This window comes from Homo sapiens, chromosome 3, assembly GCF_000001405.40.
Source record: "Homo sapiens chromosome 3, GRCh38.p14 Primary Assembly".
Classification (NCBI taxonomy): Eukaryota; Metazoa; Chordata; class Mammalia; order Primates; family Hominidae; genus Homo; species Homo sapiens.
In genome coordinates, this window is record NC_000003.12 from 165,451,039 (window position 1) to 165,475,211 (window position 24,173).

Consider the following 24,173-nt stretch of genomic DNA (forward strand, 5'->3'; position numbering starts at 1 on the left):
AACATATATGACATTATACAAGATTATATTTATAAGATTTATATATAAGATGTGTGTGTATATATATATATATATAGAGAGAGAGAGAGAGAGAGAGAATGGTGCTGAGAACATAATAGAAACTCAGTAAGTGTTAGTTGAATGAATGTGTTTATTTCCATTGTATAAACTTACATTAAAATGTAACTTTTCAACATCAAACAACTTATAGGACTAAGGCTATCATTTGAATGAGTGCTTTCTACTAATTATATAACTGTTAGCGGAAATGTGTCCTGATCCAGACCCCAAGAGAGAGTTCTTGATCTCATGCAAGAAATAATTTGGAGAGGGTCCACAAAGTAAAGTGAAAACAAGTTTGTTAGCACAGTAAAGAAATAAAATAATGGCTACTTCTAGACAGAGAAGGAATGCACCCACTTTGGTACAATGCTTGTTGAAAACCAAAAGAATTCACAGATACTTTGAAAGAAGTGGCAGGTCACTGAAAATTCCATGAGACAGGCAAAAATCTCTTGTGCTCTCTTGAAAGCACCACTTCATGGCTGGAGGCCAACCAACTCAGGACATTACAGAAACTCATACAGAATAACCCTGTTCCCAGGAAGGAGGAAACAACAGCTAATTCTGCTACCTGCAACATCCCGGCTAACCAGTGGTCCTGAGTCTGTCCATGTGACAATTTCACTGCTAGCATAACAAGCATTCGAGAAAGCCAGCACACCAAACATATCTACAACAGAGGACTCTCACAGAGTCTACTTTACTCCCCTCCCACCTCCACCAGAGCAAGTGCTGGTATCCATAGCTGGGAAACCTGAAGACAGATAACATCACAAGCCACTTTGCAGACATTCCCCAGCACCAGGCCAGAGGCTGGTGGCCCTATTGTGTGACTATACCCAGAAGAGTAATAACAATCACTGCAGTGTGGCTCACAGGAAGCCCCATCTTTAGTGGAAGGAGGCGTGCACCACAACAAGAGACCGTGGGACAAAAGAATCTGAACAGCAGCCCCTAAGTTCCAGACCTTTCCACCGAAATAGTCTACCCAAATGAGAAGGAATCAAAAGGTAATTCTGGTAATATGCCAAAACAAGTTTCTATAACACCCCAGAAAGACCACAGCAAAGAATCCAAAACAAAAATAAAGCTTTGAATTCCCAGATAAATAATTCAGAAGATTGATATTAAGCTACTCAAAGAGATACCAGATAAAGGTGAAAACCAACTTTAAAACAATTAAAAAAATACAGAATATGGATGAGAAATTCTTCAGAGAAATAAATATTAGAAAGAAAAATAATCACAACTTTGGAGATGAAAGACACACTTAAGAGACATAAAAAATGACTGGAAACCTTCAAAAATAGCATCGAACAAGTAGAAGACAGAGCTTGAAGACAAGGCTTTCAAATTAACATAATTACAGAGAGACAAAAAAAAAAAAGAAAATGAACAAAGCCTCTAAGGAATCTGGAATTATGTTAAATAGCCAAACCTAAGAATAATTGGTTTTCCTGAGGAAGAAGAGAAACCTAAAATTTTGGAAAACATATTTGAGGGAATAATTGAGGAAAAGTTCCCTGGCCTTGCTAGAGATCTAGACATCCAAATACAAGAAGCTCAAAGAACATTTGGGAAACTCATCCCAAAAAGATCATCACCCAGGCAAATAGTCGTCAGGTTACCTAAAGTCAAGAAAAGGGAAAAAAATCTTAAGAGCTGTGAGACAAAAGCACCAGGTAACCTGTAAAGGAAAACATATTAGATTATCGGCAGATTTCTCAACAGAAACTCTACAAGCCAGAAAGTATTGGGTCCTGTCTTTAGCCTCCTGAAACAAAATAATTGTCAACCAATAATTTTGTATCTAGCAAAACTGAGCTTCAAAAAATGAAGAAAAGATAAAGTATTTTTTTCAGACAAACAAATGTTACTACCAAGGCTGCACTAAAGAAATGATAAAGAGTTCTAATCTTGAAACAAAATCTTAAAATACACCAAAATAGAAACTGTTTAATGTATAAATCTCACAGTGCCTATAAAACAACACAATGAAAAAAAACCCAAGGTATTCAGGCAACAACTGACATGACAAATAGAACAGTACCTCACAGAAATACAAAAAAAAAAAAAAAAAAAAAAAACTACAAAAGATCTTTCAAGGTTACTATGAACACGTTTTTGCACACAAACTCAAAAAATCTAGAGGATATGGATAATTTCCTGGAAATATATAACCCTCCTAGATTAAATCAGGAAGAAATAGAAACTCTTAACCGACCAATAACAAGTAGTATAATTGAAACAGTAATTTAAAAAGGCAAATAAATAAAGTTCAGGACCAGATGGATTCACAGCTGAATTCTATCAGGCATTCACAGAAGAATTGGTGCCAATCTTACTGAAACTACTTCGAAAGAGAGAGAAAAAGGGAATCCTCCCTAAAGCATCCTATGAAGCCAATATCACCCTAATACCTAAACCAGGAAAAGATATAACAAACAAACAAACAAACAAAAAAGAAACTACAGATCAATATCCCTGGTGAACATAGATGCAAAAATCCTCAGCAAAATACTAGTTAATTGAATTCAACAGCATATTAAAAAGATAATCCACATGATCAAGTTGGTTTTATGCCAGGGATTCAGGGATAGTTTAACATACACAAGTCAATGGATGTGATACATCACATACACAGAATTCAAAACAAAAATAATATGATCATCTCAATAGATGCAGAAAAAGCATTTGACAAAATTCAGCATCACTTTATGATTAAAATACTCAGCAAAAGTGCCATAGAAGGAACATATCTCAAGATAACAAAAGCTATCTATGACAAACCCACAGCCGACATTATACTGAATTGGGAAAAGTTGAAAGAACCAAGAACTAGAACAAGACAAGAATGGCCACTTTCACCACCTCTATTCATTATAGTACTGGAATTCCTAGCTAGAGCAATTAGGCAAGAAAAAGAAATAAAATGCAACCAAATTGATAAAGAGGAAGTCAAATTGTTGCAGTTTGCCAATGATATGATTGTATAACTAGAAAGCCCTAAAGACTCGTCCAGAAAGCTCATGGAGAGGAAAAAGGAATTCAGTAAAGTTTCAGGATTGAAAATCAATGTACACAAATCAGTAGTGCTGCTATACACCAAGGGTGAGCAAGCTGAGAATCAAACCAAGAACTCAATTCCTTTTACAACAGCTGTGAAAAAAAATAAAATAAAATACTTAGGGATATAACTAACCAATGAAAGATGAAAGATGGATGATCTCTAAAAGGAAAACTACAAAACACTGCTGAAAGAAATCATCAATGACACAATCAAATGGAAACACATCCCATGCTCATGGATGGGTAGAATCAATATTGTGAAAATGATCATACTGCCAAAAACAATCTATACATTCAATGCATTTCCCATGAAAATACCACCATCATTCTGAAATGGGAGGAGTTCCCTTATCCCCCTCCTAGGGTGTGTGATAGGGGTGTGGCTCGCTTCTTTGGTGCCCCGCTGCTCAAACCCCTAGGGGGAGCATGCAGACAGGGGCAGGTTGTGGGGTGCATTTTGGGGCTCTGACCCCACAGCAACGTATAGGGTGAGTGTTAGAGCTCTCAAAGCCCCAGTGAGTGTGTATTACAGTGTGCTTTGTCAGGTTTGTCATCTTGTGGCTTGTGTTAATCAGCTCAATTAGACCCTCTACCTTATGTCAAGGACAGAGGGCTTTCTGTATCCTCGGTTCTTGACCTAGTGTCACAGAAAAATCAGATCACACATGGGCTTGGAGGATGGGTCCAAGGTTCTATTGAGTGGTGGAGGTAGCTCTCACCAAGGTGGACTGGGAGCCAGAAGGGGGATGGAGTGGGAAGGTGGTTTTCCTCTGAATCAAGCTGCCCAGTGGCCAGACTCTCCTCTGACTGTCCCCGACCAAATTCCACGTCATTCCCCCTCAATGGCCTGCCAGTGTCTACTGGTGTCTGTCAGTGTGCTCTTCTGCTCCTTTTGATGTCCAGCTGCTTGTGTCTCTGCCCACTAGGGTCTCAGGTTTCTATGGGCACAGAATGGAGGGCATGGCATGCCAGAGTGGTCTTGGAAAATGCAACATTTGGGTGCAAAAACAGGAGTGCCTGCTCTCACTTAGTTCCATGGGCACAAGCCTGAGAGTGGAGCCGTCGCCAGAGACCCCACCTTTTTCTATCCAGCACATCCCTGTCCCACTGCCATGTCAATTCTTCACAGAACTAGAAAACACAATCCTAAAAGTGATGTGGAACCGTAAAAGAGACTACATAGCCAAAGCAAGATTAAATAAAAAGAATAAATCTGGAGGCATCACATTACACTACTTCAAATTATACTACTAGGCCATAGTCACCAAAATAGCATGGCTCTGGTATAAAAATAGGCACATAGACCAATTGAACAGAATAGAGAACGCAGAAATAAAGCCAAATATTTGCAGTCAGCTGGTCTTCAAAAAGCAAACAAAAACTTGCGGTGGGGAAAGGACACCCTACTCAGCAAATTGTGCTGTTATAATTGTCAAGCCACATGGAGAAGAAGTAAGCTGGGTCCTCATCTCTTACCTTATACAAAAATCAACACAAGATGGATCAAAACCTTCTAGACATTGGTTTAGGCAAATAATTCATGACCAAGAATCCAAAAGCAAATACAGCATATAAAAAAATGAGTAGATGGGACCTAATTAAAGCCAAAGAAATAATCAGCAGACTAAGCAGGCTGCCTACAAAGTGGGAGAACATATTTGTAAACTATGCATTCGGCAAAGGACTAATATCCAGAAACTACAAGAAACTCAAAGAAATCAGCAAGAAAAAACAAATAATCCCATCCAAAAGTGAGCAAAGGACATGATTAGACGGTTCTCAAAAGAATATATACAAACAGCCAATAAACACATGAAAAAATGCTCAACATCACTAATCGTCAGGGAGATCCAAATTAAAACTACAATAGGATACCACCTTTCTCCTGCAAGAATGGCCATTGGTAAAAGGTCAAAAAAAATAGATGTTGGCATTATGTGGTTAAAAAAAAAAGGAACATTTATACACTGCTGGTGAGAATATAAATTAATACAACCATTTAAAAGTAGAACTACCATTTGATCCAGCAATCCCAGTACTGGGTATCTACTCAGAGGAAAAGAAGTCATTATATGAAAAAGACACTCGTACACACATTTATAGCAGGACAATTTGCAATTGCAAAAATATGTAACAAGCCTCAATGCCCATCAACAAGCAAGTAGATAAAGAAAATGTGATATATATATATCTGCCATGGAATACTGCTCAGCCATAAAAAGGAACAAAATAATGGCATTTGCAGCAACTGGGATGTTAGAGACCATTATTCTAAGTGAAGTAACTCAGGAATGGAAAACCAAACATTTTATGTTCTCACTTAAAAGTGGGAGCTAAGCTATGAGGATGCAAAGGCATAAGAGTTACATAATGAACTTTGGGGACTTGGAGAGAAGATTGGCAGGTGGTGAAAAACAAAAGACTACACATTGGGTACAGAGTAAGCTGCTCAGGTGATAGGTGCACCAAAATTTCAGAAATCACCACTAAAGAACTTTTCCATGCAATGAAACACCACCTTATTCCCCTACAACAACTGAACGAAAATAAAAATAAAATTAAAATAAAATAAAGGCAAAAAATCATGGGGGAAATGGGCTCCAGTACAAGGACTCCTGACAAAAGATTATTAAGCTTTGTGTAACTGTTGACTTTGGCAAGAAACTCATTATTAAACTAAGAATGTTTTTGTCGGCTGGGCGCGGTGGCTCACGCCTGTAATCCCAGCACTTTGGGAGGCTGAGGTGGGCAGATCACGAGGTCAGGAGATCGAGACCGTCCTGGCTAACGCGGTGGAACCCCGTCTCTACTAAAAATACAAAAATATTAGCCGGGCCTGGTGGCGTGCGCCTGTAGTCCCTGCTACTCAGGAGGCTGAGTCAGGAGAATGGGGTGAACCCGGGACGGGGAGCTTGCAGTGAGCAGAGATCGCGCCACTGCACTCCAACCTGGGCGACAGAGCGAGACTCCAACTCCAAAAAAAAAAAAAAAAAGAATGTTTTTGTCCTTTAGATGTGGGATATCAGGACACTTCCTGGCTTTGTTAAGTGCCGGGTCTGTTTAGCAGACATTATTCATCTATTCCCTTAACTGGAAATATCTTAAATATCTTGTCACTAGGAATGCTCATCCTTCTGGGAATGCAACCCAGCAGGTCTCAGCCTCATTTTACCCAGCCTCTATTCAAGATGAAGTTGCCCTGGTTCCCACGACTCTGATATAATAATAATTTTACAGCAATTAGTTACAAAAGACTAATATATTCACCAACTAAGATCCCTCTGGCAAACTTTCTCTTATTTTGGAGTTGGCAAAAAGCATGATAAAATTTATGACCAGCCAGAAAAAGCAAAGACATTATATTGTGGTATCCAGCAAGATAAGAATTCTACTGATTTGTCTTTTTTGCTTAATTATATATGGAAAGCTTTTAGAACAGGTACTGGCACATACTTGGCACTCCAGTCAATAAATAAATTTTGAATAAGTAAATTTTGTTTTCTAGGTGAATACTAGTATTAACAGAATTTAAGATACTTCCTAGTAAAAGCTACAATTTAAATCTCTTCAATTATACCATGTTTTGTGATGCTTTTCAGTATGCTTTCTTATATTTTATTTGATCCTGACAATAATTCTAGAGATGAATAAAGAAAGCGTGATTGATATCTTTTAACAAATTGTCCAAGGTTAAGTAAATTTTCCACGATTACATAATTAATTAAAAAAATGTGATTTCATCTTGATCTTCTACCAACTTCTTTTTCATAAAGCAGGTATTTTTAAGCATCAGAATTTACTGTTAATTGAAAAATTTTCATGATTTTAAACAATTATCCAGGAGCCATAAATAGCATTCATTACCTTGTTTCATGAAAATAGTTTATGAAAATAGTACATTATATGAAATACTCAATACTTATTGATAAATATGTAGTGAAAACAGAATCTTTATGGCTTCGTGAATTGCCTTTTTTTAGCATTAAAACTATCTGAGAATAGGCTCTGTTTATTAAGTTAGTTCTTTAAATTAAGGAGATTCTACTACTGATTATTTGTTTATCCTTTTGTTTAAAAATGAGTAATCATGTTCTAACTCCTCAATAATTTTGTTTTCTTATCTAATACATTAACTTTTATTACCCAAATATGATACACAGAACTCAAGCTCTTGTAAATAAGTGTTAATTACAAATAATATCCAAGGTCTATTGTTTGTAATGGTTTGTTAAATAACATTAAGCAGAATTTTGTTGTTATTGTTTGTTTCTCATTTAGATTAGCTTTGCTTAGGTTTAAATGAGAACAGCTTATAATATTTAACATACCAATGCGAAGCGTGACTTCTAAAATTGTAGTTATAATAAACAGTGTTTCCCTCATCTGTTTGAACATGAAAAAAGTTTCTCCCCTATAGGGCATCTTGAGAAATTACCGTTCGTGGATCACACTCAGAGTTGTAGTGGCCAAGGATTTTATCTTATATTTAGCTAACTCTTCTGAATTAATGGTTGTAATTACTGGTTTCTGTAATTCATGGTTCTTCCACTATTTTAGATTGTTTCAACTATAAGGGAGTAAATGGATAAGTTAAGTGTTCGTGCAATTTTTATTAAATAAAATGAAAATAGGAAAAGAAAAAAGGGAACGCTAACCTACTTTTTATCCGGTTCATTATAAGGTAGTGCAAGACACCCTTAGACCTAGCATGGGATACATAGATATGGTTAAGTTGTCTGGTTTACATTTCTCTACATTCAGAATTAGACAGTATGTATTTCTTTCAATGATCTATAATTCACATTTTGTAAATACTATCTTCTATCTATGTGCATCTATAATTACATTGTTAGAGTATTTAACTATAATATATTATTCTAATGATTGTATAGCCAATAAGCCCAAGCTGCATGCAGTGATAATTAGCTTATTGCAAAAATACAGAAGAAAGGCAATCAAAGTCCATACATAATGGTCAACCCACTGAAGGGTCTTAGTTATGAAATATTAACCAACTGAGGACGTGGTTTGAAAAAAGTTACTTTAGCAAAAAGAAAAAAGGAAACAAAGCAGATAACAGATACAAGAGGCATGTCCACGAGCATGGGCATGTCTATGAGCGTACTATTCTGATTCATAACCAGATCTCATCAGAGATGAGAGGCCACATGAGTTAACAATGATACAGCAGAAGACAGGAGATGGGAAAGAAGATCTGTTGATTTTAGTCTTGGAAGATTCTACTTTGAGTGGCAATTTTAAAGAATATCAGGAATATTATATTTCTTTCCCTTATAGATCCAGTCTCACTCCTTGATTCTCCATTCGATGCTTATTTACATGTCCTTACATTTTAAATGTTGTATAAAGACCTTCCACTTTTAAAAACCATATAGACAAAGTATAGAGGCTAAATACAACTACAAACTATAACAAAAATATTGGATATTTATTTATATAAGAATTGCTATATACTTTGATATGCATTACTCTATATATATGTAAAATTCATACACTCCTATAAAATTAAGGTTTAAATTATAAAAATAGATAACTGAAGATTTGTTGAGGAGAGGTTGAAAAAAGTATAAGTACTTTTTACCTCCTTGGGCTTCTCCCACAGTTTTTCCAAAGGCTGCAAAGCTATTATTTACATCTGGTTCCCTAAAAGCCGACCTCCAATAGGAAATTTTATGCTATTGATTCATTAAGATAGTGTTCTCAGGAGAAACAAGTAAGGGAGTGAGGGAAGCAAGGTGGAGAAGGAGAAGGAGCTGCACAAGATGTGCTTTCAGGTGAAGACTAAGTTCGTTCTGATCCCCTGTGAACTTGGACCACAAATGACAAGACAGTTTGTCATCCCCTGAAGTCAGGAAGCGGGGCTGTTGTTCACCTTCAACACCCTCGTTTGTGATTAACTGTGGGATGCAAGGTGGAGGGAGGGAAAGGGTGAACCAGTCTAACACCCAGTCACTTTTAGGAAGGTGAGTGTGATAGTTAATTTTATGTCTCAACTTGACTGGGCCATAGCACACCGAAGCATTCGGTTGAATATTAATCCGGATGTTTCTGTGAGGTTGTTTCTGGATGAAATGAACATTTTTGTAGACTGAGTAAAGTAGTTTGCCGCCTCTCCCGACCCAACAATGTGGGTGGGGCTCATCCAATCAGTTGAAGGCGTTACTAGAACAAAAATGCTGACCTTTTCATGAGTAAGGGGGGAAGTCCTCCTGCCTGACTACCTTTGAACTGGGACATGTGCCTTTTTTTTCTGCCTTCAGACTCAAACTAAACGTCAGCTTTTCCCGGCTCTCAAGCCTGCTGGTCCCTGAACTAAAACTCACATTATCAACTCTACTGGTTCTTAGGCCTTTGGAGTCAGACTGGAACTACAGCATTGACTCTTCCGGAACTCCAGCTTACTGACTACAGATCTTGGAACTTTTCAGCTTCCACAACCATGTAAGCCAATTCCTTTCTAATAAATAAGTCTCTCTCTGTATATACATCCTACTGGTTCTGTTTCTCTGGAGAATTCCAACTAACGAGGTGAGAAATAGCTTCTATAACATAAATGAAAAGCTCCAGAAAATATTGGTCTTAAAGTAAACGTTGTTTCTTATGAAACGTTTCCTGTGATTTAACCCCATATTTACTGTCTAAATGTATCTGTCTAAAATAATTTTCAGGATTCTAATTTCACTGAATTTTTATACAGGTACCCTATCATTCACTTTCAACAAAGCTATTCTATATACTAAATTACCGCTGTGTTCTTTTTGGAAACCTAATATTTAGAAAAATCCAGAAGATAATCTATCTATTACTTAAACCTGAAACACTTAAATCTATCTATTACTTAAATTTATCTATTACTTAAAGCTGAAATGCTTACTTTTTAGCAAACATTTGCTTTGTTACCTATTTCTGAGAGTGCGAAAGCTTCCTTTGAAAATGAGACATAAAATCAAGAAATGCAATTAAAGCTTTAGGACTGGAAATTTCTCACAGATTATCTTGTCCAATATACTTTTTTTTTTTCATACAAGTAAACTGAGGGAGAATATGAAGTCAGTAAGCAATAGGGGACATATAGGAGAAAACTTTTTACTTTACATTTTTAAGTTTTAACACCTTGATCAGCAATTATTTTTAGTTGTAGCTTAGTATAAAGTCATTTATATACCATACATTTTTAATGTTGAAATCTTATTGCTTATGGTTCTAAATTCAACTCAAAAAATGCCTCAGATGCAATTTGCCAGTAAATATTTTATTAAAAGAATGTATCCTTCATAGAGAACAGATTATAGTGAACACAATATAGCCATTCTTTTTAAAACAGTTTATTACTACAAATCTTTGGAAAAAAATAATAATGGTGGTTGATAACAATATCAACATAGCCATATTAACACATTTTATCAAATATCCCTGTGAGGTCAGTACTTTCATTAACCTATTTTCATTAACATATGATTAAACTGTGGTGTCTGAACTCAGTTGTCCTGGCTCACAAAATGGCCTTATCAACCACGATATTCTTCTCTAGAGCAAACATATTATCAACACAGAAACTACTGTTTAAAGCATTTGAATATACATTTAAACCATTTTCATACATATTTGCTGGAAACTTATATGAACTAAATACTATTTTACCACTTTTCTTGTTTTGGCTATGAAATAAAACATTGAAAAATTATTGGGTGTAACCTAGTGAGGAAGTGGAAAACCATGTGCTTTAGTCCTTCCCTTAATCAGTGTGTGAGTAATAAAGCTTGCTATTTAATATGAAGATGATGATCTTGATCCACTGTCAAAGGACATGTATGTGGGGCTGCTTTCACTGTTAATAAAGGATTACATAAGCTATACTTATTATTCTTAGGAAAAATTGCAATGGCACAGAAGTTAGGAGGCCTTGGGTTTAATTTCTGCTCTGTAAGTAGTTATTTGGCTTTAGCCAAGTCATTTAACTCTACAAGAATCATTTTCCTCTTCTTGAAAGTGAAGAGGTAGGAATTTTGACCTAGATCAGTTTATAGATTCTTTCTAGGTCTGTTCCAACGTTCTATGAGTCTATAATCTAGACCTCATTAGTGGTGTGCTACTAGTACTAATCAGGCCCAAAGAAATATATTAAGTTGCATTTTGTATGTGATAGGTGCTGCCAGATTTTAGATTCCTACTTTTAATTTCTGTTTGAGATCCTCTTCTACCTTCTGTATGCTTTTTTAGAAAGCTTTGCTCTTAGAAAAGAACCAAAATACATGGATTGATTGAGATCATTCAAGAATTTTTAAATTATTTTACAAATTAGATTATAAAGATTAAACCTCATTAATAAGAATAAATTAAATGTTTAAATGTTAGAAAAAAACATCAGGTTGGCCAGTCTAACAGTTCCCTATCTGAACTGAAAGAAAAATAAATATATTATTATACTTTATCCATGTAGGAAAGTTATGTAACATGTCAAGAGTGAAGAATGAGTTTGGAAAAGTTGCTCTTCATGGCATTCTTTTACTGTGAACTTCAAATGGTGTGCTTGAGCTGTTGGAAGCAGGCTGACACAATTGGAAAACACTGAATTAGTGGGAGGTAAGGGAGGTATCTGCAACAGCTGAAGTAAAATGAACTTTTCTGCAGAGAAAAGCAGCTTAGTTACAACCCTCAAAGCTCAAACGTCAATCCGTCCCCAAGCAGGACAAGTGTGGGTGATATATGGAAAGGCTATTTTAAAATCCGCTTGAGCTTGCCAATCTGGAGATTTGCCCAGGAAAGAGAGCCTCAGAAAAATCACGATGCAAACAAGCAAATTTTATCAAATTTATGCAGAACTTGAGAGTCACAGAAACTAATTGGACAGAATCCCATCTAAAATTTCATCATTAATAACTACTATGACAGATAGTTCTTTTAACGGTCTTTTCTTTCATGTCTGTTTCAATGACTTAATAAGTATGTGTATTTGCTTTGTGCAATATCATGACAGAAAAAATACTTTCCCAACATGTCCTTATAAAGCTAATTCTGTTCTTTTGGACCTCGCTGAATCTTCTATCATTTTTCAAACATGGCTATGCTGTCAAATAGAAGTGGTAGGGACATTTTTTTCTAAAGTCAGAGCATTTCATTTTGAATGTTTAAGAAAATCACAAAAGCCAAGTGTTACTTTCCTTTAAAATAAAGGTTTGTTTAACATCTCGCATTATGCAAAATATTTAAGTGACATTAAATAATAGTGAATATTTTCTGTAATATCAACAGAATATTTTTGTCAGCAAAGTGAGGTCAATATATTGAGTGAAACACTCTGTATTAAACATAATATTAATGCTTATTGACTATGTATATTAATGTCTTTTGCAGACTTCAGTTGAATCACTATGACTTATTCTAAATGAGATATTTTTAATGAAAATGTATCACATAGACAAGCTAAACCATTTCCAGGAATATTGTAACAGCTTCAAAAGAAGATGCTACAGTGTTAAAGGGAAACATATGATTCTTGGTGTTAGTGCCAGAGAGCTATAGTTTTAATGTGTTGAATCACTACGAGTGATGACATGAATGATTAAATTTTGTAATAGCAACTTAATTTGAAAGAAGGAGATTCTCTGATTCAGGGACTTACTAAAATTTCTCAACAAGTGATAAAGACTGAAAATATGACAAAAAAGTTTTCAGATAACTTACTTAAGGAAAAAGTCATGGTATAATGATTATTTTTATAAGCAATAAGATAGATTTGAGTTGATGAAAGTACTCCAGATGGAGTGTAAGCAGTATTTCATTCCTGCAAAAAACATTTTGTATTTAGTTATTGAGATGGTCATCCTAAAGACATTTATTTAAGATACTAAATTCTGGCGTCACAAATTACAGTGCTATTTGATGACAGGTGCTATAGATCAACAAGATGAAGTTATATTTATTAACAATTGAGAAATTAAAACATAGTGGAATGCAGGGCAACCAAACTAGGATAAAATTCACTGAAGGTTTAATTGGCTGGTACTCTTTTGGAATATATTAATATTGATGCACTGACTTTAAAAGACCAGCATTAACACTATCAGCCCAATCATCATAGTTCACTGTTGATAACCAGACAGCAATTATTACTGCACATTGTCAATGAAGTTATTATTTTAGATTATATGATGATGTGGCTTGGAATAAATTCTAACTAATTATAAGAAATTGAAAGAAGCAACATTCAAATTACAAGTGATGTTTAATAAAAGGCCTCACTAGCAAAATGCTAGAAATTAACCTCTTTTACTTGGCATCATTTAAACATCTCTAAACTTAATACAATGTGTACTTTATTTTTTTACAATGAGTGGCATAGGACATAAATTTCTTTCAAGACAATCTTATTTTCAAAATTTTGCAGTTAGGAATTGATTTGGTGTGAAAATTATAAATATTTTTTCAATAGCTCTCATTCAAACTTTAATGAAATAATTTTGTAATTGGTTGTTTAATGGCTGTCATTCAGCAACTACTATTACCATGATTAAAAGTTCTGTGAAGACGGGAATGGTGTCTGTCATGTGAACTAGAGCCCTAGCACCTATCTTACATGGTGTACAGTCCCTCAATAAGGAATTGCTTATTAATAAAATGAATGCATAGGCCCATAGCTAGCAACTGGGAGGAAAGGGGATTCAAGCCAAACTGCTGACTTCATGTGCAGAGACTAATCTCAATTTGGATGCGACAGGATACAAACATCAAATTCATGGATATATTTCCCAGTGAACTCAAACATTACTATTGAATAAACTATGTGTAAGATGAATAGCTTGACCACATCAGTCGGTCATTCTTGTGGCATGATTTCATGGTTTGCTATTTATGGAAATGCCTTTAGGTTATAGTTTATATTACATATGATTCTAGAAAGTTCATGGCTAGGGCCACTGATTTAATTCTCAGAGGAAAAATTAGATTTTCCAGGAAAACCTTCTTTTTCCTTCCCATAGTTTGTAACCTCAACTCTAGATAGAAATGTCTGTCTTGTTCTAAATGAAAAATCTTGGATTAAATGTGAGCAGACATTAGGCTTTTCCATTTCAAAATCTGAATCATCAGTTGACCAACTGGGTCACTGTTAAGAAATTATTTTAAATATTACTAAATCCACTTTTTGTTCTAAATTTATATTGTATTAATAGCAACCAAGTGATACACGTTTTATCCCTTTTAATTTTGAAAAAAATCCCATGAGTTAAATGCTAGCATCCCAATCTGAGAGATGCAGAAAATGAGACAGAGAATTCAGATCAAGGTCTTCCCAATTTAAACAATTAATCCAGTGATTATTCTACAGTAAAATAAAGATAGTAATAAATAGATAGATCACCCTTGAACAACACAGAATTAAACTACATAGGTCCACTTATACTCAATTTTTTTTCCAACCAAACAAATAAAACCTTTGTGGTAGGCAAACCTGCCTATACATAGGGCCAAATTTTAGTGTGCATATATTCCACAGGCAGGACTGCGGGATTTGAGTATGCACCAATTTTGTGTTTATGTAGTGTCTTGGAACCAATCCTCCAACTATACTGACAGACAGTGCACTATTGTTCATAGTAATTTCTAGATAGTAGACATGAGCAAAAAGTACTGTATTAATGGGATTTGTAAGCTAAACATAATGTGTACAACACAGGCTATTGTTAGGGTCATTTAATCCAGGCTCCAGAGCCCTATGACTAGAGAAAAACACCTTGAGTTGGTATAAAATTCCATGAATATAAACAAAAAAAACTAAATTGTCCCTGCTGCAGATTTGTGAGAACTCTTAAGAAATACTTGAGGCTTTACTTTTATGATTCTATGAGTTATTGAGTCTTTAAATGTCACCATCTTTTCAAAATACAACCATGAATGTTACTATATTAACTAACGTAGTGTAGGTGGACTCCCTAGGCCTTTTGGGAGGCTTGGAGAAGCATTCTTTTGTGTTGAAGGCGAGGAACAGCCAGGTGAGGACTAGCCTTCTTAGAGCTTTATTTAAATCCAAGGATTATATAGGTTGTAGAGTCATACTTATAGATCAGAACTTTTTAAAAATTCTTTTTTCCCTATATTTGGCAAAATTGATACTAAAGAAAAATCCAAAATTCAATTCGTCACCTCCTTTGTGGCTAAGAGACAGATATTTATTTGTTTTCCCCAGTGAAATGTACCTCCACAATATTTCAGTGTTCAGCAGAGCAAAACAAGAAGAGGCAGGCTTTTTGAGGAATTCATACCTAGTAAATATGGCAGAGGTTGGCATAGACACTGAGACTGAGAAACAACTGTTGTGGAAGGGCTGCGCTTAGGGTCCCATATGTATGGTTTGCAATGCCTGTACTGGAATCAAGCCTGTGAATAGTTTAGTGGTTGGCTTAGATATTACTTCTGGCTGCATAATCTCTAAAACCAGTTTTCTGGCCCTCCTAGAATTTCTGAGGGATATCTTAGAAGCTTTAATACATTCTTCTTCTGTTTCACTTAGTTTTTCTCATTTTAGCTAATAAATCTAGCTAAAACAAGCCTATCCCACACAACAGGCTTGTGTGTTAGAATAATAGTCCCCCAAATAGGTGCATGTCATAATCCTGGGAATTCTGAAAACCTGAATATGAATTTTCTTTGTAAAAAGGGATTCTGCATATCAGATGAAGATTACAGACTTTGAAATGGATACGTTATCCTAAATTATTAAAATAGGCCCAATCTACTCATATACACACTTAGAAACAAATTATTTCTGGTGAGTGCAAGAGAGAGTCAGAGAGATGTGACAGAAGAGGCAGGAAATACTTCAAGCATGAGAGAGATTCCATTAGCTGTTGCTGGCTTTGAAGATAGAGGAAGGGTGCCATGAGCTGAAGAGTGCAAGCAATCTCCAGGAGCTAGTAACGGCTCTCAGCTGACAACCGCAGCAATAGAGACCTCAGTTCTACCCACTGGATGGAACATCCTGCCAACAACCTGAACAAGCAAGAAAACAGAACCTCTCTTAGAGCCCACCGGAGTTCTGACCCATGGAATTATAAAACAATAAATTTGTAGCGTTTAAAGCCACTAAATATATGATTATAGAAAACTAATTTAAGGCTAGAGCAAACTCAATAGTTCATGGAGCAGTGTCTAAGTGGTAATGGGACAGGGACAATTTGTGTAAAGCATTTGTATAAAGCCAGAAAAGATGAGCCTGTTTCTGGAGACATTGATAGGACATGAACCCTAATTCGTAGTCATAAAGTACAAAGTTTAGAATTATCTATTCTTACACAGTCTAAGTTATCAAGTAATAGATGTGTATCTGGTTACCAAATTTATTTAATGAATTTAAATATTAATACCTGCTTCATTTTTAACTAATGTAAAATCAGTATAAAGGGCTTTAAGGATTGGACTTAATGGAAAAAGCAGTGATCTAAAGTCTTGTATCTTAAAGGATGGTTTGTGGGAGCTTGTTTGAGTGCAGAATCTCTGACGCCACCTGAGACCTACTGTCTTGTGTTGCTTAAAGCAGAATCTGTGGCTAGGTAATTGATAAAGAAAAGAGGTTTATTTGGCAGTTCTGTTGGCTGGACAAGAAGCATGATGCTGATGACTGCTTGGCTTCTGGAGAGGGCTTTTGTGCTCATCAAAATATGGCTGAGAAGATAAGATGAGAAGCAGGCACATGAAAAGAGGGGAAAACCTGAGAGGTGTCTTGGCTTTCTAACAATTCACTCTCGTGAGAACTAATCCTGTCTCGTGAGAGCCAGAATCACTCACTCCCAGGAAAATAGCACCAAGCTACCCATGAGGGATTCATCCCCATAGCCCAAACACCAGCCATTAGGCCCCAACTCTCAACACCATCACAATGGGGACCAAACTTCAATATGAGCTTTGGTGGGGACAAGTAAACCATATCCAAACCCCTCCACCTACAAAATTAGAATTTGCATTTTAACAAGATCTCCCGGTGATTTTTTGCTGCCTAATGTTTGGGAAGCATTGATCTAAAGCTTGAACAGCAAAAATAGGAAACGTAGCCAAATTAAATTTAAAAACCACTATAAGTAATCACTATACTAAACTTATTCTTAGGCATTCTCCATTTTGTTTTATCACTTATAAAAATGGTAGCATATACTATTTCATAGGGTTAAAGTCAAGATTTAACGATCAATAAAATTATTAATTTGGTAATACATGAAAAGCTCTCTGCAAAGTGCCTGGCCAATAACAAATGTTTATAAAATATAAATATGATCAGTATTATTTCTTAATAGCCCATTCCTCTACACTAGCCTTCCTCTTCCTGCTTGTCCAACAATCCAATTTAAATAATATCTATACAGCAACTTGGTAACTCTGGTATAACTAATCATTTTAAATGGCAGCTACAGTAAATCAGGAGGGGAATCAAGCATTTTTTTTGTCCTTCCTTTTTCTCCTTTGCAGAGGAAATGGGATAAGGAAAGAAGGTTCTACCTAATTGTAATATGTAATATTCATTAAGTTTTCATATACATTAATTCATTGCCTATAAAAATTCTTCAGCTCTGGATATTTAGCCCAGTGGAAAGTGACTTTAATCTGTGCAAATGAAGTCATATATAAAATCTAAAATGAGACAAGACATAGATTTAGATATGTGTATTTTTATATCTTCAACATAAGTATAAGCATGAAATAGAAATCTGCAGGCCTAGTTTAGAAGCCAGCAGGACCTGGGTTTAAATTCTGACAATTTGTCTTACTGTGTGACATTTGGCAAACCACCTTAACCACTCTGAAGTTTAGTTTCCTCATCTATAAACATCTGCCTTAAAAAATTATAATTCTTATTAAATATAAACATCTTTTCTATGTGGTCTGGAACATAGTGGCATAAAACAAAGGCTTTTTTCTTTCTTTTCAGACTTTTAGGTATATAAATAGGATAATGTATGTACCAGTATTATATCTCTAAATTTTAATCTGCACATTTTCTGCATATTTTCCTCACCCTCTTAGCATTGTTTTCTGAGGCCATTTCTTTCCGTGCTCATCTTGCGGGTTGGGAAGCATGAACAAACACTTACATGTAAGTAAGTGATAGAAAAATTCAACTATCTGCTTAAACAATAGCTTCAGACAAGAGTGGAACTGTACACAGAAGAATAGAAGGTGGATGGGTAATGAATAACTCTGCTTGGAAAAAAAGGAAAGAAGGGATCCTAAATATTGAATGAAAAAGAGTAAATAGTATCTTTCTTTTAAAGGGCTAGAGACACAAACAAAAGGACCTGAGCACAAACATATCTCTAAACAGGGACTCTATCAATCCATCAAATAGAGACAGAATTATATCTAGTAGTTCTAAACCATTAAGAACATCTTGAACATAGTTTGAGGGAGTTAAACAGTGTATTGGTGACCAAAATGGAAAAAAACACAACCAGAGATTATTCCACTCTAAACCACAGCAACATTGTATATGCTGCCAAAGATAATTGCTATTTGCTTCTAACTCCAAGGAAAGTAGAGAAAGACCAAGTATCTTAAGAAGAACAATGCCTGAGGCTATAGGGGACCCTGAACCTGAATATGAAAACCCTTAAACTGGATTACTTCACTAATTTGAGTAACTACTGGAGCTTCACGAAGTCACAGAGAGATGAAAATTATTAATAATTATTACATTTATTTATTTAGTATTTAAATATATGTATTATGTGTATATAATTATAAATAACCATTTTTTTTACTGATGCATTTGGATACATGCATAAAATATTTTCAGTATAAACAATTTACAATATGAGTTTTTTTACGATGTTGTTAAATTTGTTTTAAGCCTTGGAACTTATTTAAAAAACATAATTTATATTTAATTATATTTTTATATGCATTTTTGAAAAAGGCTAGGGTTAAAATAGCCAGTTAAAAATAGCCACTAAAGATTTTAATGATAATTATTATACTTCTATCAAATACCTTAAATTTATAAGATGTATTGAGTAGTTACTATATACAAGGCACTGTCCAATGTGTCAAGATGATAATGATGGAAGAGACATGCTTGTTCAAGAATGGTACTTAATGTTAGAGGAATATGTGTAAAAATGACATGACACAATTCTATGGACATAGATGTTTTTGTGCTCATGTATTACAATTTTAAAGAGTATAACAATTCATGCTCTGCAGAGTATTTAAAATATTTAGAAATGTATCATTTGAAAATTATAAAGACCTGTAAATATCTTTTCTCGTCATTATTCTTCAGAGATTAAAAAAAAACAGATTATGCAGATTTGCAGTTTTTAAATGCCAGTAATTTGGTAATTTGGACCAAAATTCATATTGAAGACAACTTAAAAAGCTGGATAAAGTTAAAAAAAACAATAGCCTGAAGGCATGGCAGAGCTAACAAAGCTGTGAAAAAATTGCAAGGTCAAGATTTGAAAGGTAGAAATCTAAATATGGTTGTTATTTTGTGCTAATTTCTCTCAAATAGCTTAAGCTGATTCTTAAAAACATAGCTCAGTGTTTGAGAAGCTGAGCAAAGCTTTTGAAACTCCCTCAAGTCTAGGAAGAAAACTTCAGTAAACAACAAGTGGTGTAACTCTCCCACACATTGAGGCCTAGTTTTAAATTATTTCAAATCTAAAACTAAATTAGATAATCACAGATTTCTAGTTATCTCTAACTGTGTTTAAGAGTTTAAACAACTTTGCTTGTTATATTCAAGGAGATAGATGATAAGATAGAAATATTTGGCAGAGCACAAGAATTTTTTTTTAAATGAATGTTCTAGAACTTAAAAAAATAAGAAACTAAATGAGGAATTTTATAGATTGGTTCAACCATAAAATAGACACAGCTAAAGGAAGATTTAGTTAATTCGAAGTAGATCACAAGAAAATTTCCAGAATGAAGCAAGAAGAGATGAAGTATGTTAGACAGAGGGCAGTATTTCAGAGTCAAAAAGAACAAAATTAGAAGATCAAAAACATGTGTAATTTGATTCTCAGTAAGAGAAGAAAGAAAAAATGAGGAAGAAGCAATATTTAGAGATACAATTTCTGCAAATTTCCCAAAATTGACCACAACAAACAAAACCAATCACAGAGACTTTGAGAATGCAAAAAAAAAAAAAAAGTGAAAAAAATCCCACACCCTTAGGTTCACACAGTGAAAATTCTGAGGGAGGAAGGAGAGAGAGAGAGAGACAGAGACAGAGAGAGAAAGAGAGAATAAAAAGCAGCTAGAGAAACAATACAGATTGGTTTTAAAGGAGCAACAATTAACCTGGAACTAACTTTTCATAGAAGTAATTCAAGTCAGTAGACAATAAAGTGATATATTTGAAGTCGTGAAAGAGAGTAACATAGGACCTATACGTCTTTTTTTAAATTTTATTATTATTATACTTTAAGTTTTAGGGTACATGTGCACAACGTGCAGGTTTGTTACATATGTATACATGTGCCATGTTGGTGTGCTGCACCCATTAACTCGTCATTTAGCATTAGGTAAATGCTAATGCTAACCCTCTCCTAATGCTAACCCTCCCGCCTCCCCCAACCCCACAACAGTCCCCAGAGTGTGATGTTCCCCTTCCTGTGTCCATGTGTTCTCATTGTTCAATTCCCACCTATGAGTGAGAACATGCGGTGTTTGGTTTTTTGTCCTTGTGATAGTTTGCTGAGAATGATGGTTTCCAGCTTCATCCATGTTGCTACAAAGGACATGAACTCATCATTTTTTGTGGCTGCATAGTATTCCATGGTGTATATGTGCCACATTTTCTTAATCCAGTCTGTCATTGTTGGACATTTGGGTTGGTTCCAAGTCTTTGCTATTGTGAATAGTGCTGCAATAAACATACGTGTGCATGTGTCTTTATAGCAGCATTATTTATAATCCTTTGGGTATATAGCCAGTAATGGGATGGCTGGGTCAAATGGTATTTCTAGTTCTAGATCCCTGAGGAATCGCCACACTGACTTCCACAATGGGTGAACTAGTTTACAGTCCCACCAACAGTGTAAAAGTGTTCCTATTTCTCCACATCCTCTCCAGTACCTGTTGTTTCCTGACTTTTTAATGATTGCAATTCTTACTGGTATGAGATGGTATCTCATTGTGGTTTTGATTTGCATTTCTCTGATGGCCAGTGATGATGAGCATTTTTTCATGTGTCTTTTGGCTGCATAAATGTCTTCTTTTGAGAAGTGTCTGTTCATATCCTTCACCCACTTTTTGATGGGGTTGTTTGTTTTTTCTTGTAAATTTGTTTGAGTTCATTGTAGATTCTGTATATTAGCCCTTTATCAGATGAGTAGGTTGCAAAAATTTTCTCCCATTCTGTAGCTTGCCTGTTCACTCTGATGGTAGTTTCTTTTGCTGTGCAGAAGCTCTTTAGTTTAATTAGATCCCATTTGTCAATTTTGTCTTTTGTTGCCATTGCTTTTGGTGTTTTAGACATGAAGTCCTTGCCCATGCCTATGTGCTGAATGGTAATGCCTAGGTTTTCTTCTAGGGTTTTAATGGTTTTAGGTCTAACATGTAAGTCTTCAATCCATCTTGAATTAATTTTTGTATAAGGTGTAAGGAAGGGATCCAGTTTCAGCTTTCTACATATGGCTAGCCAGTTTTCCCAGCACCATTTATTAAATAGGGAATCCTTTCCCCATTGCTTGTTTTTGTCAGGTTTGTCAAAGATCAGATAGTTGTAGATATGTGGCATTATTTCTGAGGGCTCTGTTCTGTTCCATTGATCTATATCTCTGTTTTGGTACCAGTACCATGCTGTTTTGGTTACTGTAGCCTTGTAGTATAGTTTGAAGTCAGGTACCGTGATGCCTCCAGCTTTATTCTTTTGGCTTAGGATTGACTTGGCGATGCGGGCTCTTCTTTGGTTCCATATGAACTTTAAAGTAGTTTTTTCCAATTCTGTGAAGAAAGTCATTGGTAGCTTGATGGGGATGGCATTGAATCTATAAATTACCTTGGGCAGTATGGCCATTTTCACGATATTGATTCTTCCTACCCGTGAGCATGGAATGTTCTTCCATTTGTTTGTATCCTCTTCTATTTCATTGAGCAGTGGTTTGTAGTTCTCCTTGAAGAGGTCCTTAACATCCCTTGTAAGTTGGATTCCTAGGTATTTTATTCTCTTTGAAGCAATTGTGAATGGGAGTTCACTCATGATTTGGTTCTCTGTCTGTTATTGGTGTATAAGAATGCTTGTGATTTTTGCACATTGATTTTGTATCCTGAGACTTTGCTGAAGTTGCTTATCAACTTAAGGAAATTTTGGGCTGGGACGATGGGGTTTTCTAGATATACAATCATGTCATCTGCAAACAGGGACAATTTGACTTCCTCTTTTCCTAATTGAATGCCCTTTATTTCCTTCTCCTGCCTGATTGCCCTGGCCAGAACTTCCAACACTATGTTGAATAGGAGTGGTGATAGAGGGCATCCCTGTCTTGTGCCAGTTTTCAAAGGGAAGGCTTCCAGGTTTGTCCATTCAGTATGATATTGGCTGTGGGTTTGTCATAGATAGCTCTTATTATTGTGAATTACATCCCATCAATACCTAATTTATTGAGTTTTTAGCATGAAGGTTGTTGAATTTTGTCAAAGGCCTTTTCTGCATCTATTGAGATAATCATGTGGTTTTTGTCTTTGGTTCTGTTTATATGCTGGATTACGTTTATTGATTTTTGTATGTTGAACCAGCCTTGCATCCCAGGGATGAAGCCCACTTGATCATGGTGGATAAGCTTTTTGATGTGCTGCTGGATTTGGTTTGCCGGTATTTTATTGAGGATTTTTGCATCAATGTTCGTCAAGGATATTGGTCTAAAATTCCCTTTTTCTGTTGTGTCTCTGCCAGGCTTTGGTATCAGGATGATGCTGGCCTCATAAAATGAGTCAGGGAGGATTCCCTCTTTTTCTATTGATTGGAATAGTTTCAGAAGGAATGGTACCAGCTCCTCTTTGTACCTCTGGTAGAATTCAGCTGTGAATCCATCTGGTCCTGGAGTTTTTTTGGTTGGTAAGCTATTAATTGTTGCCTCAATTTCAGAGCCTGTTTTTTGTCTATTAAGAGATTCAGCTTCTTCCTAGTTTAGTCTTGGGAGGGTGTCTTGGGAGGGTGTCCTAGTTTAGTCTTGGGAGGGTCCAGGAATTTATCCATTTCTTCTAGATTTTCTAGTTTGTTTGCATAGAGGTGTTTATAGTACTCTCTGATGGTAGTTTTTATTTCTGTGTTATCGGTGGTGATATACCCTTTATCATTTTTTATTGCGTCTATTTGATTCTTCTCTCTTTTCTTCTTTATTATTCTTGCTAGTGGTCTATCAATTTTGTTGATCTTTTCAAAAAAACAGTTCCTGGATTCATTGATTTTTTGAAGGGTTTTTTGTGTCTCTATTTCCTTCAGTTCTGCTCTGATCTTAGTTATTTCTTGCCTTCTGCTAGCTTTTGAATGTGTTTGCTCTTGCTTCTCTAGTTCTTTTAATTGTGATGTTAGGGTGTCAATTTTGGATCTTTCCTGCTTTCTCTTGCGGGCATTTAGTGCTATAAATTTCCCTCTATACACTTTATTTAAAGAAAATATTACCTTACAATGAAGGTGAAATAAAAACAATATTAGAAAAGAAAAATGTAAAAAATGTATATTTACCAGTACTGTCATAAAGGAAATGCAAAATGATGTTCTTCAATCAGCAGGAAAATTATTCAAAATAAAAATCTGGAGTTACAGGCAAACTTTAGATGCAATGAAAATGGTAAGTATTGAGTACATGAAACGATAAAAATACCTTGTGAAAATTAAAAAATAGCATTAGAATAGATCACAAAGAACAGGAGGAGCTTGAACACATTTGAAGAGTATTAACGTCCAGGTTTGATCTTAAACAAGCTTAAAAGTATCAGATAACATTATCTACTGACATTGATAAATTAGCAATGCATATTTATAATTTCTAGGGAAACCACTAAAAGGTTAATAAGAGGTTCTA

The 24,173-nt window shown here is 35.3% G+C and overlaps 1 long non-coding RNA gene across 5 annotated transcripts in view, besides 1 other annotated feature; it reads left to right on the top strand.

The window, feature by feature from the left end:
* LINC01322 (long intergenic non-protein coding RNA 1322) overlaps nucleotides 1-24,173 on the top strand; it is a 332,490-nt gene that overhangs the window by 244,091 nt on the left and 64,226 nt on the right. For 3 of the 5 annotated variants that reach the window (NR_174101.1, NR_174100.1, NR_174098.1), the window contains one exon: nucleotides 9,414-9,594. The exons of the other annotated variants lie outside the window; for them this stretch is intronic. This is a non-coding gene — a long non-coding RNA (long intergenic non-protein coding RNA 1322). The remainder of the gene's footprint in view (nucleotides 1-9,413; nucleotides 9,595-24,173) is intronic. 5 annotated transcript variants of the gene reach the window in all.
* Nucleotides 8,605-9,804: an enhancer, noted in NCBI's record as "CDK7 strongly-dependent group 2 enhancer chr3:165177431-165178630 (GRCh37/hg19 assembly coordinates)". NCBI's record gives its function as "activates an origin of replication core promoter dependent on BRD2, BRD4, P300/CBP, MED14 and CDK7 cofactors, with strong dependence on CDK7, by STARR-seq in HCT116 cells {active_cell/tissue: HCT116}" and the evidence as "EXISTENCE:reporter gene assay evidence [ECO:0000049][PMID:35650434]".